Below are 16561 nucleotides of genomic sequence, written 5' to 3'. Positions count from 1 at the left end.
TTCATAAGGGAAGGGAGTAGATGATTTGTGCTCTCTGTTTTCTGGTCTTCACTCACCTCATTTCCTAGGGAAACAGCAGCCTGGGTAAATAGAGAACAGAGAAATGGATGTTTTCTCATATGTGCTTTGGAGCCCAGCTGGGTTTAAAGCATTCTGTCTGAATCAGCTGTCAGTTCCTGAACCACTCTCCTGCCTTCTGTGTCTCCTCAGATGCGTATGACATCACGTTTGACCCGGACACAGCACACAAGTATCTCCGGCTGCAGGAGGAGAACCGCAAGGTCACCAACACCACGCCCTGGGAGCATCCCTACCCGGACCTCCCCAGCAGGTTCCTGCACTGGCGGCAGGTGCTGTCCCAGCAGAGTCTGTACCTGCACAGGTACTATTTTGAGGTGGAGATCTTCGGGGCAGGCACCTATGTTGGCCTGACCTGCAAAGGCATCGACCGGAAAGGGGAGGAGCGCAACAGTTGCATTTCCGGAAACAACTTCTCCTGGAGCCTCCAATGGAACGGGAAGGAGTTCACGGCCTGGTACAGTGACATGGAGACCCCACTCAAAGCTGGCCCTTTCCGGAGGCTCGGGGTCTATATCGACTTCCCGGGAGGGATCCTTTCCTTCTATGGCGTAGAGTATGATACCATGACTCTGGTTCACAAGTTTGCCTGCAAATTTTCAGAACCAGTCTATGCTGCCTTCTGGCTTTCCAAGAAGGAAAACGCCATCCGGATTGTAGATCTGGGAGAGGAACCCGAGAAGCCAGCACCGTCCTTGGTGGGGACTGCTCCCTAGACTCCAGGAGCCATATCCCAGACCTTTGCCAGCTACAGTGATGGGATTTGCATTTTAGGGTGATTTGGGGGCAGAAATAACTGCTGATGGTAGCTGGCTTTTGAAATCCTATGGGGTCTCTGAATGAAAACATTCTCCAGCTGCTCTCTTTTGCTCCATATGGTGCTGTTCTCTATGTGTTTGCAGTAATTCTTTTTTTTTTTTTTGAGACGGAGTCTCGCACTGTTGCCCAGGCTGGAGAGCAGTGGCGCGATCTTGGCTCACTGCAAGCTCCGCCTCCCGAGTTCAAGCAATTCTCCTGCCTCAGCCTCCCGAGTAGCTGGGATTACAGGTGCCTGCCACCACACCCAGCTAATGTTTTGTATTTTTAGTAGAGATGGGGTTTCACCATGTTGGCCAGGCAGATCTCAAACTCCTGACCTCGTGATGCACCCACCTCGGCCTCCCAAAGTGCTGGGATTACATGCGTGAGCCACTGCGCCCTGCCTGTTTGTAGTAATTTTTAGGCACCAAATCTCCCTCATCTTCTAGTGCCATTCTCCTCTCTGTTCAGGTAAATGTCACACTGTGCCCAGAATGGATGACCAGGAACCTTAAAGAGTGGCTGAAAAGATTGCAGAGTTATCATAATAAATTGCTAACTTGCGTATTTCCTATGTGCCAGATACCGTTCTTATGCTTCCTGCACATTAACTCAGTCCTCACAGAACACCCATTGGGTAGATGCTTATATCATCCTTATTTTGCAGATGGAGAAACTGCGGTCCGGGGCAGTTAGCTAATTTGTTCAAGGTCACTCTGGTCACATGGTGAGTGAGGGGCAGAGCTGGGATTCAAGTGTGGGTAGAATGACACTGGACTTTTTTTTTTTTTTTTTTTTTTTGAGACGGAGTCTCGCTCTGTCGCCCAGGCTGGAGTGCAGTGGCGCGATCTCGGCTCACTGCAAGCTCCGCCTCCCAGGTTCACACCATTCTCCTGCCTCAGCCTCCCGAGTAGCTGGGACTACAGGCGCCCGCTACCACGCCCGGCTAATTTTTTGTATTTTTAGTAGAGACGGGGTTTCACCGTGTTAGCCAGGATGGTCTCGATCTCCTGACCTCGTGATCCGCCCGCCTCGGCCTCCCAAAGTGCTGGGATTACAGGCGTGAGCCACCGCCCCCGGCCGACACTGGACTTTTAACCACCACATCATATTGCCTTCCTTTATTTTATTTTATTTTATTTTTTTTTTTTTTGAGACGGAGTCTCGCTCTGTTGCGCAGGCTGGAGTGCAGTGGCACAATCTCGGCTCACTGCAAGCTCCGCCTCCCAGGTTCACACCATTCTCCTGCCTCAGCCTCCCGAGTAGCTGGGACTACAGGCACCCGTCACCAAGCCTGGCTAATTTTTTGTATTTTTAGTAGAGACGGGGTTTCACTGTGTTAGCCAGAATGATCTCGATCTCCTGACCTCGTGATCCACCCGCCTCGGCCTCCCAAAGTCCTGGGATTACAGGCGTGAGCCACCGCACCCGGCCACCTTCCTTATTAGATCATGGACATTGTATAAAAGGCAATAAAATGCATAGCAGAGAAACTTCTTGAAGTTTGCAAATCCACACACAACATCTGACTCAGCCATCCTGCCTTGCACTAGCTCACTGCCTCACTGCCTCACACAGCAGTCCTTTCTATTTGGGGACAGCAAGGATTAGAAGAAATGTCTTAACAGTGTCTGAGTTTTAGTCCCTGTGACCTCTGGAAAGGGGCCCTACTCCTCTCCTCTAAAGTAACCTGGAATATGTGGACTTGTCTGATTTCTCATTCAAAGAATGGTTCTTTTAAGAACTGTCACGTAATACCCACGCCCCAGGTGTTCTTGTTTTCATATGAAATTTTCCACCTTCCTTTATGGTTCTCAGTCCTTTCCCCCTGATTATTTCATTCTTCTTTTGACAGATAAGCTTCCTAAGATTAATCATCAGCATTCATCAAGTCTTTAGGCAAATGGCAAACTGTCTTTAAATGGGTTTCTGAAGCTATAACCTGAAGTTTCTGGTGGGATTCACCAGAAATATAAATTTTGAGTCTGTTCCTGTGACCTTTGTCAAGGCAAATCTTTTTTTCTCCAATCAGTCTGATTGGCCTGTCTCAAGAGTATATTACTTTAGCATAACTTGACTTGTTACCTATATTTGTATCTAAGGATGTTTACAGTATAGGATTTAAAATGATTTTACTTTAATTTCATCACATCATTGCTTTATGCTGAGATACTTGAGATTCATGATTCCTTATCCAGTATATTGGCTCTCCTTCCTAGCTTAGTGTCACCTGCACAATTGGTAACCCTTCTTTTTTTTGAGACGGAGTCTCGCTTTGTCCCCCAGGCTGGAGTGCAATGGCACGATCTCGGCTCACTGCAAGCTCCGCCTCCTGGGTTCACACCATTCTCCTGCCTCAGCTTCCCGAGTAGCTGGGACTACAGGCGCCCACCACCACGCCCGGCTAATTTTTTGTATTTTTAGTAGAGGCGGGGTTTCACCGTGTTAACCAGGATGGTCTCAATCTCCTGACCTTGTGATCTGCCTGTCTCGGCCTCCCAAAGTGCTGGGATTACAGGCGTGAGCCACCCCGCCCGGCCATAACCCTTTCTTCTTAAGTCTTATCCTTGTTGATAAATATATCGAGGAGATTAGGACCAAATCTAGAATCTTGTGGCACTCAGTCAGTAGCTTCTAGGTTTAATTACATGCAAATTATGCACGGGTGGAACTGTGCAATAATGTAGCCCCACCTTTTTCACCTTTATCCACTGAACATGATGAAAGACATTTTCAGTGGCAGAAATCAAGATATACTATGTTTAGGCTGGGTGTGGGGGCTCATGCCTGTAATCCCAGCACTTTGGGACGCTGAGGCAGGAGGATTACCTGAAGTCAGAAGTTCGACACCAGCCTGGCCAACATGGTGAAACCCTGACTCTACTAAAAATACAAAAATTAGCCGGCCATGGTGACACGTGCCTGCGATCCCAGCTACTCAGAAGGCTGAGGCTGGAAAATTGCTTGAACCCAGGAGGTGGAGGTTGAAGTGAGCTGAGATCGTGCCACTGCACTCCAGCCGGGGCGACAGAGCAAGAAAAAAAAAAAAAAAAGATATGCTATGTCTGAACTTCTTTGATCTATCTGTCTAATAATGAGCTCAAGACAAATTGAGATCAGCTTGGACTGCCTTATTTTATTGAATCCCTGCGGGTTGTTGGTGCTTGGTCATGGTCATTTTCTTTTCTAAATGTTCACAAAATATTTGATAAACCACTTTAGATTTCTGCTGTGGGTTAATACCATGTTTACCAGTCTGTTGTTTCCAGAATCTATCTTATTTTTATTTTTAAAAAAATCGAGATGCCTGTCTGCATTCGATACAATTTGGATATTTGTCCCCTCCAAATCTTATGCAGAAATTTGATCTCCCATGTTGGAGGTGGAGCTGGGTGGGAGGTGTTTGGATAATGGGTTGGATCCCTCATGAATGGCCATGACGACACCATGCTTCTTGTATAGCCTGCATAACCATGAGACAAATCAATTTCTTTTCTTCATAAATTACCCAGCTTCAGGTATTCCTTTATAGCAACACAATGGGACTAAGACACCGTCCTCTCTCATTCTCCCTAGTTTCTCAAAGATTCCCACCTGATTTGCAGTCATGTCATTAAGTTGTGTCAGATTCCTGAAATGTAATTTACTTAGACCAGAATACTTGAGCTTATATAAAAGGAACCATTTAGGTGTCTCTTTACTTGTCTTGAACTTCATTTTCCTGTTAACTTTTTGTCTATTAGCTTTCAAGTTCAAGACCTTTCTTCTTGATATGAAAGAGCAAAGCAGAATTAAGAGTTGGGCATATTTGGGCCGGGCGCGGTGGCTCATGCCTGTAATCCCAGCACTTTGGGAGGCCATGCCTGTAATCCCAGCACTTTGGGAGGCCAAGGCGGGCGGATCATCAGGTCAGGAGTTCGAGAGCAGCCTGACCAACATGGTGAAACTCCATCTCTACTGAAAATAGAAAAAAATTAGCTGGGCATGGTGGTGTGTGCCTGTAATCCCAGCTACTCAGGAGGCTGAGGCAGGAGAATTGCATGAACCCAGAGGCAGAGGTTGCAGTGAGCCGAGACTGCACGACTGCACTCCAGCCTGGGTGACAGAGCAAGACTCCGTCTCAAAAAAAAAAAGAGTTGGGCATATTTGCCTTCTGTCACTGCCTCAAGCAGTGGGCACATCTTTTTTCTTTTTCTTGGTCTAAAAACTGAAAAATGACTAAAACAAATAGAAAAAAAAATAGAACAAGGGTTTATTTTATATTCTCTGGCATTTTCCTTAGCTGTGTGTATGCCACTCTTTTGTATTCACCCATCCTTATCTTTTCTTCCATTATGTAGACTTACAAAAAAAAAAAACAAAAAAAACACTGAACAAAAATCTGAATTCACCAAGAGCTCACTTTGGTGCCACATGGTTCTGCTCCATTACCAGACCATTTGTAATTGCAGAGTCAGAATGTAATTTTAACCACCATGTCCATAATTTATTCTTGTCTCAACTTTTTGAAATCTGAGTGTATATAGCATTCCTTTCTGAGTATCTTATGAATTATAAGTAAATTCCCACTTTCTCCCAAGAGGCATGATGAAATGATGACATAACGGGATTGGCCCAATCACAGAGCTCTTATCCCCTCAGTCTGGCTCAGCATGTTTTTGGAATGATGTCCCTAAATTAAGTAGTCTAAATATACGTGGCACTTATAATGTGCAAGCTGCTGTGCTAGACGCTAAGAAAGAGTAACCCAGAAACTAACTAGCTGTGTCATTTGATCACAAGAAGGGGATTTAAACTGAAGTAAAACTGTTCATATGTGAAGAGCTAAATAGGAATCTGCTCTTCAAGAGAATAATAGACAAGGTGATGTATAAAACAGGTTTCTCACTCTGTGTCCTAGGGTGCTGCTGCGTTTTCGCAGGCCATCTTTAGGGACTGGCTTCTGTCTTGTGTCCTTGAGTGACCTACTCCCTGGTTTCCCCCCATCTCTGCAGCCACTGCCTCCATTCCAGGGGCCACCACTCCAGCCCCAGATGAAAGATGGAAGAAAAGGTAGTGCATGTATTTCCTGCTTCTCCTGGCTTCCTCAGATTTCAGCACCGACTCCCTCCCTCTGCACCTGTGATTAGACATCTTGGCAGCTGGGGAGGAGGCCCTTGCAGGGCAACCTGCTGTTGATATGCCCCCAATATGTCCATGCAGGGCACAGACTGTGCATGGCTCGGGTAGAGTGTTGGCCATCCCTGCCTTGCTGGAATGTGCCTAGTTTTTAATCTCTATTTCTGGCTTGCTCTGTAGTCTTGTTGGGAAAATCCCACTGTCTCCCAGAAGGAAGTAGTCCAAGTACTGGAAAAGGAGGGAGAACAGATCATTTCATAAGGACCAAGGGTCAATATAGCAGTGGTCAGTCATTTTAGGTGAAAAACCTTTCCCCCACATTAATAACTTAAGTAGTGACCCTGATGATCACCTGAAAGAAAGTGTGTATATATGTGCATGCTCTGGTTTCTCATGAACAAAAGCTTTTTAAATTTTTTTTTCTTTTTTTTTTGAGATGGAGTCTCACTCTGTCGCCTAGGCTGGAGTGCAGTGGCGCTGTCTCGGCTCACTGCAAGCTCCGCCTCCCGGGTTCTCGCCATTCTCCTGCCTCAGCCTCCCGAGTAGCTGGGACTACAGGCACCCACCACCACGCCCAGCTAATTTTTTGTATTTTTTAGTAGAGACGGGGTTTCACCATGTTAGCCAGGATGGTCTCGATCTCCTGACCTCATGAGCCGCCCACCTCGGCCTCCCAAAGTGCTGGGATTACAAGCGTGAACCACCGCGCCCGGCCAAGCTTTTTAAAATTCAACTTCCAACCAGTGTAATACCACATGATGGGAAGGCGAGAGATGAGATATCACACTTTTTCCACACTCCCTAATGATACTAATAATACTTGTTAGCTCCTCACATGGTGTAAAAGTCTACTCATTTGACCCCGACAGCCACCTATGAGCTAGGTAGGACCGTGGTCTCTACTTCATGGAAGAGGAGCAGGCTGAGACTAGCAAGTGAATTATTCAGGCATATGAAGCTGCTCCGTGGCAGAGCCCAGTTCATTCCTTGCCCTCCTACTCTGAAACCTGTGTGCTTTCCCGAGTCCCTGCTGGCTGGCCAGGCCAGGTGGCAGTAGGGGAAGGCAAAGGGGCTGGGCTGGAGCCAGCAGAGGCTCAGGTCCTCTGGTGCAGTGTCAAGTGTGACATCAGAGCCGGATGGGTGTGACACATTGTCCTCTATCTGGCCCAGCAGCGGCCGCACCTTCCAAGCTTCTCCATACTATGTGGGAAGGCAGGAAAAGCAAGTGCAGATTTAGGGTTGTGTGCTGAGGAGGTTTTATCGGGATCATGAATAAAACAGGGCGGAAAGGAAAGATAGGGGACTGGCACGAAGCCTCCAGGCTGCTCGTAGCCTGAATACTTGAGAGGTCGCAGATGTCCTTCGCATCCTATAGCCTTCCTCGGAGAAGTGCTCTCCCCCACTGGACTCCTGTGAGTCGGTCTGATGAGGCCTATTTGCCCACCTGCCTGTTTGAGTACCACTGGCGCCATGTCCCTGCATTGGCCTATCCCATCTGGCCCATCTATCCTGCCCTGTGCCAAGGCCACATTTTTTTTTTTTTTTGAGACAGTCTCGCTCTCTCGCCCAGGCTGGAGTGCAGTGGCACATCTCCGCTCATTGCAAGCTCCGCCTCCTGGGTTCACGCAATTCTCCTGCCTCAGCCTCCCGAGTAGCTGGAACTACAGGCGCCCGCCACCACACCCGGCTAATTTTTTGTATTTTTTTTTTAGTAGAGACGGGGTTTCACCGTGTTAGCCAGGATGGTCTCGATCTCCTGACCTCGTGATCCGCCTGCCTCAGCCTCCCAAAGTGCTGGGATTACAGGCATGAGCCACTGCGCCTGGCCTAAGGCCACATTTTTAACTGTAACATCAGATCCCAAATGGCTTCAACTTCCCCCCAAAGTCGGGTGTATGGCCCAACCTCTGAAAGGTGCAGGCCAGCAGGAGGCAGGGAGGAAGGGAGTGAGGCGCTGCCCTCTCGCACTCACTTGCTCTGGAGCACCCCTTGTCCCTCTATTCTCAGGAGGCAGCCCATTGTCATCTTCTCAAAGAAGCTGTTTAGAAAAGGAGGTGCCGAGGGGCAACAACATACTATGGTCCACAGGTGTTTGAGGAGAACCGTGTGTGTGCAGTGTTGAGGGAGAGGGGATACGACTCATGTCTGAAACCTAGTCTCTCTCTCTGACTCCCAAGTTTGTAGCCCTGAAATGTGAAATAAAGACTGAGTTGGGTGATTAAAACTGCTTCCTTGGCCTGGGGTGGTGGCTCACGCTGTAATCCCAGCACTTTGGGAGGCTGAGGCGGGCGGATCACTTGAGGTCAGGAGTTTAAGACCAGCCTGGCCAACATGGCAAAACCTCGTCTCTACTAAAAATATAAAACTCAGCTGGGCATGGTGGCCCATGCCTGTAATCCCAGCTACTCGGGAGGCTGAGGCAGGAGAATCACTTTAACCCGGGAAGCAGAGGTTGCAGTGAGCCGAGATGCCACCACTGCCCTCCAGCCTGGGGGATAGAGCAAGACTCTGCCTCCAAAAAAAAAAAAAAAAAAAAAAAAATGCTTCCTTGAAGAATGTCAGCCTCATAGATAAAATCCTAATTTATTTAAATCTTTAAAAACAAGCTATTTATAATCTGTCAATTATAAATAAACAAGTTAATTACGAAAAAAAAAAAAGAGCTACTTTTAACTTGCAGCACTTCTTAGGGTAATGTGCCCGCCTTACAGATCCAAAGAGTCTGCTTCGGGCCTCCCTTCTCTTTGCCACCCTCCTTTGTCTGGCCTTCCCGATTAATTAAATATTAATCTACTCATGCCTTTTCTCCAGATTCCTCTTCAGACAGAAGAGGTTGAGCTGTGAGAACTGATCTCATTCTTAACCTGATTCCTATTCCCCATTCTGACCCTAGTATGTGACTGCCATTGCCAACAAAACCCCAGCGATGGACTCCATTACCTTTCTCTGGTTGTGCCTGATCTTTCAACATGGGCATTAGAAAGGCACACAATATTGTAAACCTTTTGATTTTATCTAGGGTAATAATACTTAGTAACAATAGCAGCAACAACTGATCTCATATATTTAATGCAATCCTAGAAGGTAGTTATCATTTTTATTACCCACCTTTATCTTCTCCATCCTCATAACTAGGATGGAGACACTGAGGCTCAGAGAGGACAGGTTGCTTGCTCAAGACCATATAGCTCCTAAGTACCAGAGTCAATGTTTGAACCGAGTCTTACCTGAAGTAGGAGAATTATCTCAGCATGACTTTGAAACTCTTTCTGTGAGCTGCCCAATATGTTTTGCCTGGGCACTTTGACTACAGTGAGATTTCTGGTTAGTATTGTGAAGCAGTTAAATAACTTAAATTTACATTAAACATTTCTGGTTTTACTTTGATGATGACTTAAGAAAATGAATATAAACATATTTAGCATCATTGGGATAGCCACTTTGTAACTGAACAGATATAAACATAAGAAGTTTGCATCTTATTTTATATTCATGAATATTCAGAAGCCATATATAACAACAATAATTAAAGCGCAACACCAGTAATAGTCCACATATTACTTAAATTTGACTAACAGTATTCTTGTTGTTCTAGAAATGAGATGACCAGCTCTTTCAGAATATACAGCAACTGCCTCCACATAAAGCAGTGCCAGGTTTAGGAGATTTACGGTAAAGCCATGTTTCCAAGGAGGTCTGTACAAAAAGCCAGACTTCTGCTGGCAGTTACTGAGAGAGATAGGCTTTCCATCCATGGCAGCCATTTACTTTTGCTCTGGGAGACGTTTGTAATAGAAAAGGCACAACTGGGGTATTTATTCATTTCCCCCCGTTCCTCTAGTGTTTGGTGGCGTTGCCGTTGCAAGTGCGCAGGGCTAAAATGAACTGGTTATCTTAGGATCATGGAAAACCTGGAATCAAGGCTCAAGAATGCCCCCTATTTTCGTTGTGAGAAGGGAACCGATTCCATCCCTCTATGCCGGAAGTGTGAGACGCGTGTCTTAGCCTGGAAGATCTTCTCTACCAAAGAGTGGTTCTGCAGGATCAATGACATATCACAGAGGAGGTTTCTAGTTGGCATTCTGAAGCAGTTAAATAGCTTATATTTGTTACACTATTTCCAAAATATCCTTCAGACCACACAGGGAAAGGATTTCATCTATAACAGGTCCCGGATCGACCTCAGCAAGAAAGAGGGGAAAGTTGTGAAGTCCTCCTTGAACCAAATGTTGGATAAAACAGTAGAACAGAAGATGAAAGAGATCTTGTATTGGTTTGCGAACAGCACCCAGTGGACCAAGGCGAATTATACTCTCTTACTGCTGCAGATGTGCAACCCCAAATTACTGCTCACTGCTGCCAATGTGATCAGAGTCCTGTTTCTGAGAGAGGAGAACAATATCTCAGGTAAACAAGGCCACAGGCAGAGACTAGAGGGCCCCCGAAGACCAGAAGGCAAGGCTTCAGAAATCTGTAAGGAACTGCAGTTGTAGACAACATAGGTAGACAGAGATTGCACAGAATGCAGCATAGGTTTTTTGAACTGACACCTCGTCCTGACACCCGATCCTGTTTACCAAAGGAGAAATGACTGAGTGTAACTTCCTTCTTGAAAATGATCAATGCAGGAGGAAGTACACAACTTTTAACTCACAAGCATTTATCATAGATTTCTGCATTTCATAGGCCCAGAAATGGCTGGTCCCTGCCCCTGACCCCTTAATGCTGGTGTCGTTCCTGCTTTAGGGATTGGACTGAGCTTGAGAGGGTTGTAAAGGGGAAGCTTTTGTTTTTCTCTTCAGCTGCCCTGCACAGAAACCAGACCAAGAAGTCAAAACTTAGGGCTTTTTTTTTTTTTCATTCACTCTACCATGCTCCTTGCTTATCCATGAAATGAAACCTTAAAGTAGAGTTTCTCCAAGGCTGGAGATAGCTTAAGGGCCAAATAAGTCTAGGGTGGTAGTTCTCCAGCTGTGGCTTGTATCAGGATCTCCAGCAGGACCTGTTAAAACAAGCTCCTCCCCCAGAACTTCAGACTCAGCAGGTCTGAGGTGGGCCCAGGATTCTGTATTCCTTTTCTTTTTTTTTTGAGATGGAGTCTCGCTGTCACCCAGGCTGGAGTGCAGTGGTGCGATCTTGGCTCACTGAAACCTCCACCTGCTGGGTTCAAGCAATTCTCCTGCCTCAGCCTCCCAAGTAGCTGGGACTACAGGTGCGTGCCACCATGTCCTAATTTTTTTGTATTTTTTGGTAGAGACGGGGTTTCACCATGCTGGCCAGGCTGGTCTCGGACTCCTGACCTCGTGATCCGCCTGCCTCGGCCTCCCAAAGTGCTGGGATTACAGGCGTGAGCCACTGCACTCAACCAGGGATTCTGTATTTCTAACAAGTTTCCAGCTAGTGCTGATGTTGCTGGACTGGGGATCTGTCTTTGAGAATCACAGGCCTAGGGTGTTGGAGAATCTTGGAAGTGTTTGGCCAGATAGTTCAGGGAAGCAGAAGAAACAATAAGGGTGGTGTCTGTTTTGCCTTGGTATAAAGGAATACCTGAGGCTAAGTAATTTATAAGGAAATTTCTAAGGAAAAGAGTTTTATTTGGCTCACAGTTCTGAAGACTGTACCAGAAGCATGGCACCAGCATCTCTTTCTGGTGAGGGCTTCAGAAAGCTTCCACTTATGGTGGAATGCAAGGGAAATCAACGTATCGTGAGGCAAGAGAAGTAGCAAGAGAAGGGGAGGGGTGTCAGTTTCTTTTAAACAGCCAGCTCTTGCTCGAACTATATTAATAGAGCGAGAACTCACTCATTACTGTGGGAAGGGCACCAAGCCATTCATGAGGAATCTGCCCCCATGACCCAAAAACCTCCCATCAAACCTCACTTCCAGCATTGGGGGTCACATTTCAACATGAGATTTGGAGGGGACAAATATCCAAACTGTATCAGGAGGCAAGAGAATTGAGCCTTGGAGGGGTCCAGGAGTGGAAGGTCCAACATGGGGAAGCTCAGATTTAAGCAGAGGTGGGAGAAAGCTGGGAGGGGGTGGTCACATGGAGGCGTTTTGGAGTTTTAGCTCTTGAAGGTGTGTAATTCCTGTCACCAGTGCGACCTGACAGGTGGTCATATTTGTAGACTAGTGGAATCCAAAAGAATTTTAAAGCTGGATGGCCTAGGACACAATTAGATCACAATATATGTCACTTGATTTATTTGGTGTGTCAGGGGTATGGAAGAATGATAATATAGAATGAAGACACAGTGAATCCTAGGGTGTCAAAAACAGTAAGTTAGATTGGAGATCAACCGACTTAATATCCTTAATATTTACATAAGGAGACCAAAGTCCAGGGCATCTGAATGACTTTGCTTAGGTCACCCACCACGTGGGCTGAAAACCACGATCCCCTCCTGGGCCCCTTCCACTCTGGAGTGAGTGCTGCCAGCAGCAGAAGGCCTGGCTTGTACACACAGATGCAATGCTCCGCAGTGCTCTTCCAAAACTTCATCCCATTCACCATAGGAATGGGCTATTTACACTGGAGTTGTGTTAAGTCCTATTACAGGTTGTGGCAACCTTCTTCTTTTTTTTTTTTTTTTTTTTTTTGAGACAGAGTCTCACTCTGTTGCCCAGGCTGGAGTGCAGTGGCCTGATCTTGGCTCACTGCTGCAAGCTCCGCCTCCCGGGTTCACGCCATTCTCCTGCCTCAGCCTCCTGAGTAGCTGGGACTACAGGTGCCTGCCACCACCACGCCCGGCTAATTTTTTTTGTATTTCTAATAGAGACGGGGTTTCACCGTGTTAGCCAGGATGGTCTCCATCTCCTGACCTTGTGATCCGCCTGCCTCAGCCTCCCAGAGTGCTGGGATTACAGGCATGAGCCATCACGCCGGACCAACAACCTTCTCTTTTCTTAGAGCAGACTCTCTCTTAAAAAATTAAATGTTCTGGTTGGGCGCAGTGGCTCACGCTTGTAATCCCAGCACATTTGGAGGCCGAGGCGGGTGGATCACCTGGAGTCAGGAGTTCGAGACCAGCCTGGCCAACATGGCGAAACCCCATCTGTACTAAAAATACAAAAAATAGCCAGGTGTCATGCACTTGTAATCCCAGCTACTTGGGAGGCTGAGGCAGGAGAATCACTTGAACCCAGGAGACGGAGGTTGCAGTGAGCCAAGACCGAGCCATTGCACTCCACCCTGGGCAATAAGAGCAAAACTCAGTCTCAAAAACCAAAAACAAACAAACCAAAAAAAAGTTAAATGTTCTATTTTGACTCGAGGGTGGTTATTTCTATCATTGAAGAAAATTCAGCTTGAGCTTCCGAAGAGCATTCCCTGTTGCAGTTCCTGACCTCGACTCTCTCTCTCTGCTTGTATAAACAACTCGAGACATTTTACAATGGGGGCGTGCTGAAAAGCTAACAGGAAGCTTTCTGAGATTTTTGCATAGAAGTTTGGAGGCCCCAAATAAAAACAGACATAACTGCTCTGGTCCATTCTGTACATCTTTAAAAGAAGGAAGAAAAAATGAAAAAGTTTCTCTCCACCTCATTTTCCTCAACACACCCACTTCAAGAGCAACCTTGTCTTGGTCTTCTGTGTTTCAGGGCTCAATCAAGACATCACAGATGTGTGTTTTTCCCCTGAGAAAGACCACAGCTCCAAGTCTGCGACCTCACAAGTCTATTGGACAGCCAAAACTCAGCACACATCCCTTCCTTTGTCCAAAGCCCCAGAAAATGAACACTTCCTTGGGGCAGCATCTAACCCTGGTAAGTGAACTTTCAGCAAGAAAGCCAATATGGGCTAGGTGCGGTGGCTCACGCCTGTAATCCCAGCACTTTGGGAGGCCGAGGCAAGCAGATCATGAGGTCAGGAGATCGAGACCATCCTGGCTAACATGGTGAAACCCCGTCTCTACTAAAAATACAAAAAAATTAGCCGGGCGCAGTGGCAGGCACCTGTAGTCCCAGCTACTGAGGCAGCAGAAGGGCGTGAAGCCGGGAGGCAGAGCTTGCAGTGAGCCGAGATCATGCCACTGCACTCCAGCCTGGGCAACAGAGCGAGACTGTCTCAAAAAAAAAAAAAAAAAAAAGAAAGCCAATATGCAACCAATGTGAGATTGGGAAGACCCAGTGGAACTGGAGGGGCTGGCAGGGTGATAGCATCTGGGGATGGCAGATTTGAGGAACTCACATTCATTTAGCATCTACAATGTGCTGGGCTCTTTGACATTACTTTCCCATCTAATTCTCACAGCTGGTAAGGGGAGGAGCAAGGATTAAATTGATCAATATGGCCCCCAAACCCATATTTGCACCTCTCCGCTGCAGTGCCCACAAGACACATCTGAAAATAGAGATCAGAAAGGAAACTATCAATGATTTCCTTTGGAGTCTTTCTCTGCTCTGGGCCACAATCCATCATCTAGTCCCTGGGCTCTGGCATGGTGGCCAGCTCTAGAATTAAACCCACCAATGGCTATTTTTGCAGTATTGGATTCAGTCTTGAGGAGGGAACAAAACTAATGGGGAATTTGGTTCCCCACCTCAAGGCACTCCTAAGTTGGGAACTGAAGCAAGACATATACATGAAATATCATCGGAAACACAATATCGTAGGAAATACAAGGCATAGATTCTAAAACACTTTTATATGGAAAATTTCAAATTTCAAAAGTATGTAGAACAGTATGATAACCACCCACCCACATAGCACTGGCTTCAACAATTATCAACACTTTACCAATTTTATTCCATTCATTTTCCCCCCTTTCTTAAGTTGTTTAAAATTTTTTCTTGTTGGAGTATTTTTAAGAAAATTCCAGGCACAATATCATTTCAGACTCTGATACTCTAGACTTCTCCTTGGGCTGAAAAAGCTGAAAAGCACATGTATATTTGGGTCAAAAGATTCTATTCTCGGCCGGGTGCAGTGCCTCACGCCTGTAATCCCAGCACTTTGGCAGGCTGAGGCGGGCGGATCACACGGTCAGGAGATCGAGACCATCCTGGCTAACACGGTGAAACCCCGCCTCTACTAAAAAAAAAAATACAAAAAATTAGTCGGGCGTGGTGGCGGGCGCCTGTAGTCCCAGCTACTCAGGAGGCTGAGGCAGGAGAATGGCGTGAACCCGGGAGGCAGAGCTTGCAGTGAGCCGAGATCGCGCCACTACACTCCAACCTGGGCGACAGAGCGAGACTCCGTCTCAAAAAAAAAGATTCTATTCTCAAGTGGCAGAAGAGATGACAAAAATCTAGTGGCCTAAGGTTAGAGTCTGAGGAGGTTTATTTTGTGGGAGAGCTTTTGGTGGGGACTTGTTCTCGGCCTGGAGTTTCTACAGAGCCAACTCAACCACGTACCTTTCTCCGGCTTCACTCTAGAGGAACCATGGAGGAATTCACTCCGGTGTATATCCGAAATGAATAGGCTGTTTTCTGGAAAAGCAGACATAACCAAGCCAGGGTACGATCCCTGCAATCTATTGGTTGACCTGGATGACATCAGAGACCTGTCTTCTGGGTTCAGCAAATACCGAGACTTCATCCGTTACCTGCCCATCCACCTCTCCAAGTACATTCTAAGTATGCTGGGGTGTATGAGGGGATTTCCCAGACACCTCCCCTCTTGGCCCAGTTCTGGGGTTTCTGGGTCCATCTTTTTTTTTTTTCCAGGAATGCTGGATAGACACACCCTGAACAAGTGCGCCTCTGTGAGCCAGCACTGGGCCGCCATGGCTCAACAGGTCAAGATGGACTTGTCAGCGCACGGCTTCATTCAGAACCAGATTACCTTCTTGCAGGTACTTCCTGCAAGTCTGAAAGGGGAATGTCTGAGACCAGCTTCATTTTCGTGTTGAGGCTGATATGACTGTGGACCTTTCAGTAAACCCTTAGCTGGCCTCCTCCTCTACATTTGTGGCCTTTTAGGCTTCCTGGGTCCCTTCTTTTTGGTCCAAACTCCTGTTAATAACTGAGTACTCTTTCATTGTCAGTGCATGTCACAAGGACAATAGGGATAGAGACCGCTCAGGAGCAGAGAGACAGAGCCTTTCCAACACCTCACAAAGCAGAGAACCCCCAGCCCCCAGGGAGTTATATTGCAGCTTATGCAGCAAGAAAGCCATAAATGTGTCTCTGCATCAACCTCATATGGAGCACAGATGTTTATAAGGCTGCAAAGTATTTTTTTAAGTTAAAATGAAATTTTCCCCAATGGCAGTCTTCTCCAGCATTTTTACTTCTCAGTTTCTTGCCAGAAGTCTCACCCTAAACCATGGATTTTGGTAACTTGGATTTTTTTTTTTTCCCCAGCAGAGAGGACAGAGGATGAGAAGCAGCAGCTATGGTGAGGCTGGCGACAGTCTGACCATCTTTGCTGGTCCCCCTGTGGCATTTGGTGTTTATTTTTCTCCTCCATTCGATCTGCACACACTGCCAGAGGAACTGGCCAGAAGTGGGCCTGCCTGCTGCAGCCAGGGCTTACCCATCCTTCAGATTTTGCCAAGAACTAGTTTTTCCCTTCCTCCTGCAGAGTTGGAGCCAAGAGAAGCCATTTTCTGTTTTTATT

At 46.7% G+C, this 16561-nt stretch overlaps 2 protein-coding genes across 10 annotated transcripts in view; both read left to right on the top strand.

Annotated features, from left to right (window-relative positions):
• TRIM16 (tripartite motif containing 16) overlaps positions 1 to 1443 on the top strand; it is a 56346-nt gene extending 54903 nt beyond the window's left edge. For all 8 annotated transcript variants that reach the window (NM_001348121.1, NM_001348122.1, NM_001348120.1 and 5 more), the window contains one exon: positions 211 to 1443. In NM_001348121.1, coding sequence (NP_001335050.1) covers positions 211 to 794 — 584 coding nt within the window. In that variant the 3' untranslated portion in view covers positions 795 to 1443. The remainder of the gene's footprint in view (positions 1 to 210) is intronic.
• An 8261-nt stretch (positions 1444 to 9704) lies between these two features.
• FBXW10B (F-box and WD repeat domain containing 10B) overlaps positions 9705 to 16561 on the top strand; it is a 54223-nt gene continuing 47366 nt past the window's right edge. For both annotated transcript variants that reach the window (NM_001282540.2, NM_006382.4), the window contains exons 1-4: positions 9705 to 10401; positions 13600 to 13764; positions 15376 to 15576; positions 15667 to 15794. In NM_001282540.2, the coding sequence (NP_001269469.1) occupies positions 9897 to 10401; positions 13600 to 13764; positions 15376 to 15576; positions 15667 to 15794 (999 nt within the window). In that variant the 5' untranslated portion in view covers positions 9705 to 9896. The remainder of the gene's footprint in view (positions 10402 to 13599; positions 13765 to 15375; positions 15577 to 15666; positions 15795 to 16561) is intronic.

The sequence above is a fragment of the Homo sapiens genome, chromosome 17, assembly GCF_000001405.40.
Source record: "Homo sapiens chromosome 17, GRCh38.p14 Primary Assembly".
NCBI lineage: Eukaryota > Metazoa > Chordata > Mammalia > Primates > Hominidae > Homo > Homo sapiens.
The sequence above is the reverse complement of the archived record's forward strand: the minus strand, read 5'-3'. Positions and strand labels throughout refer to the sequence as shown.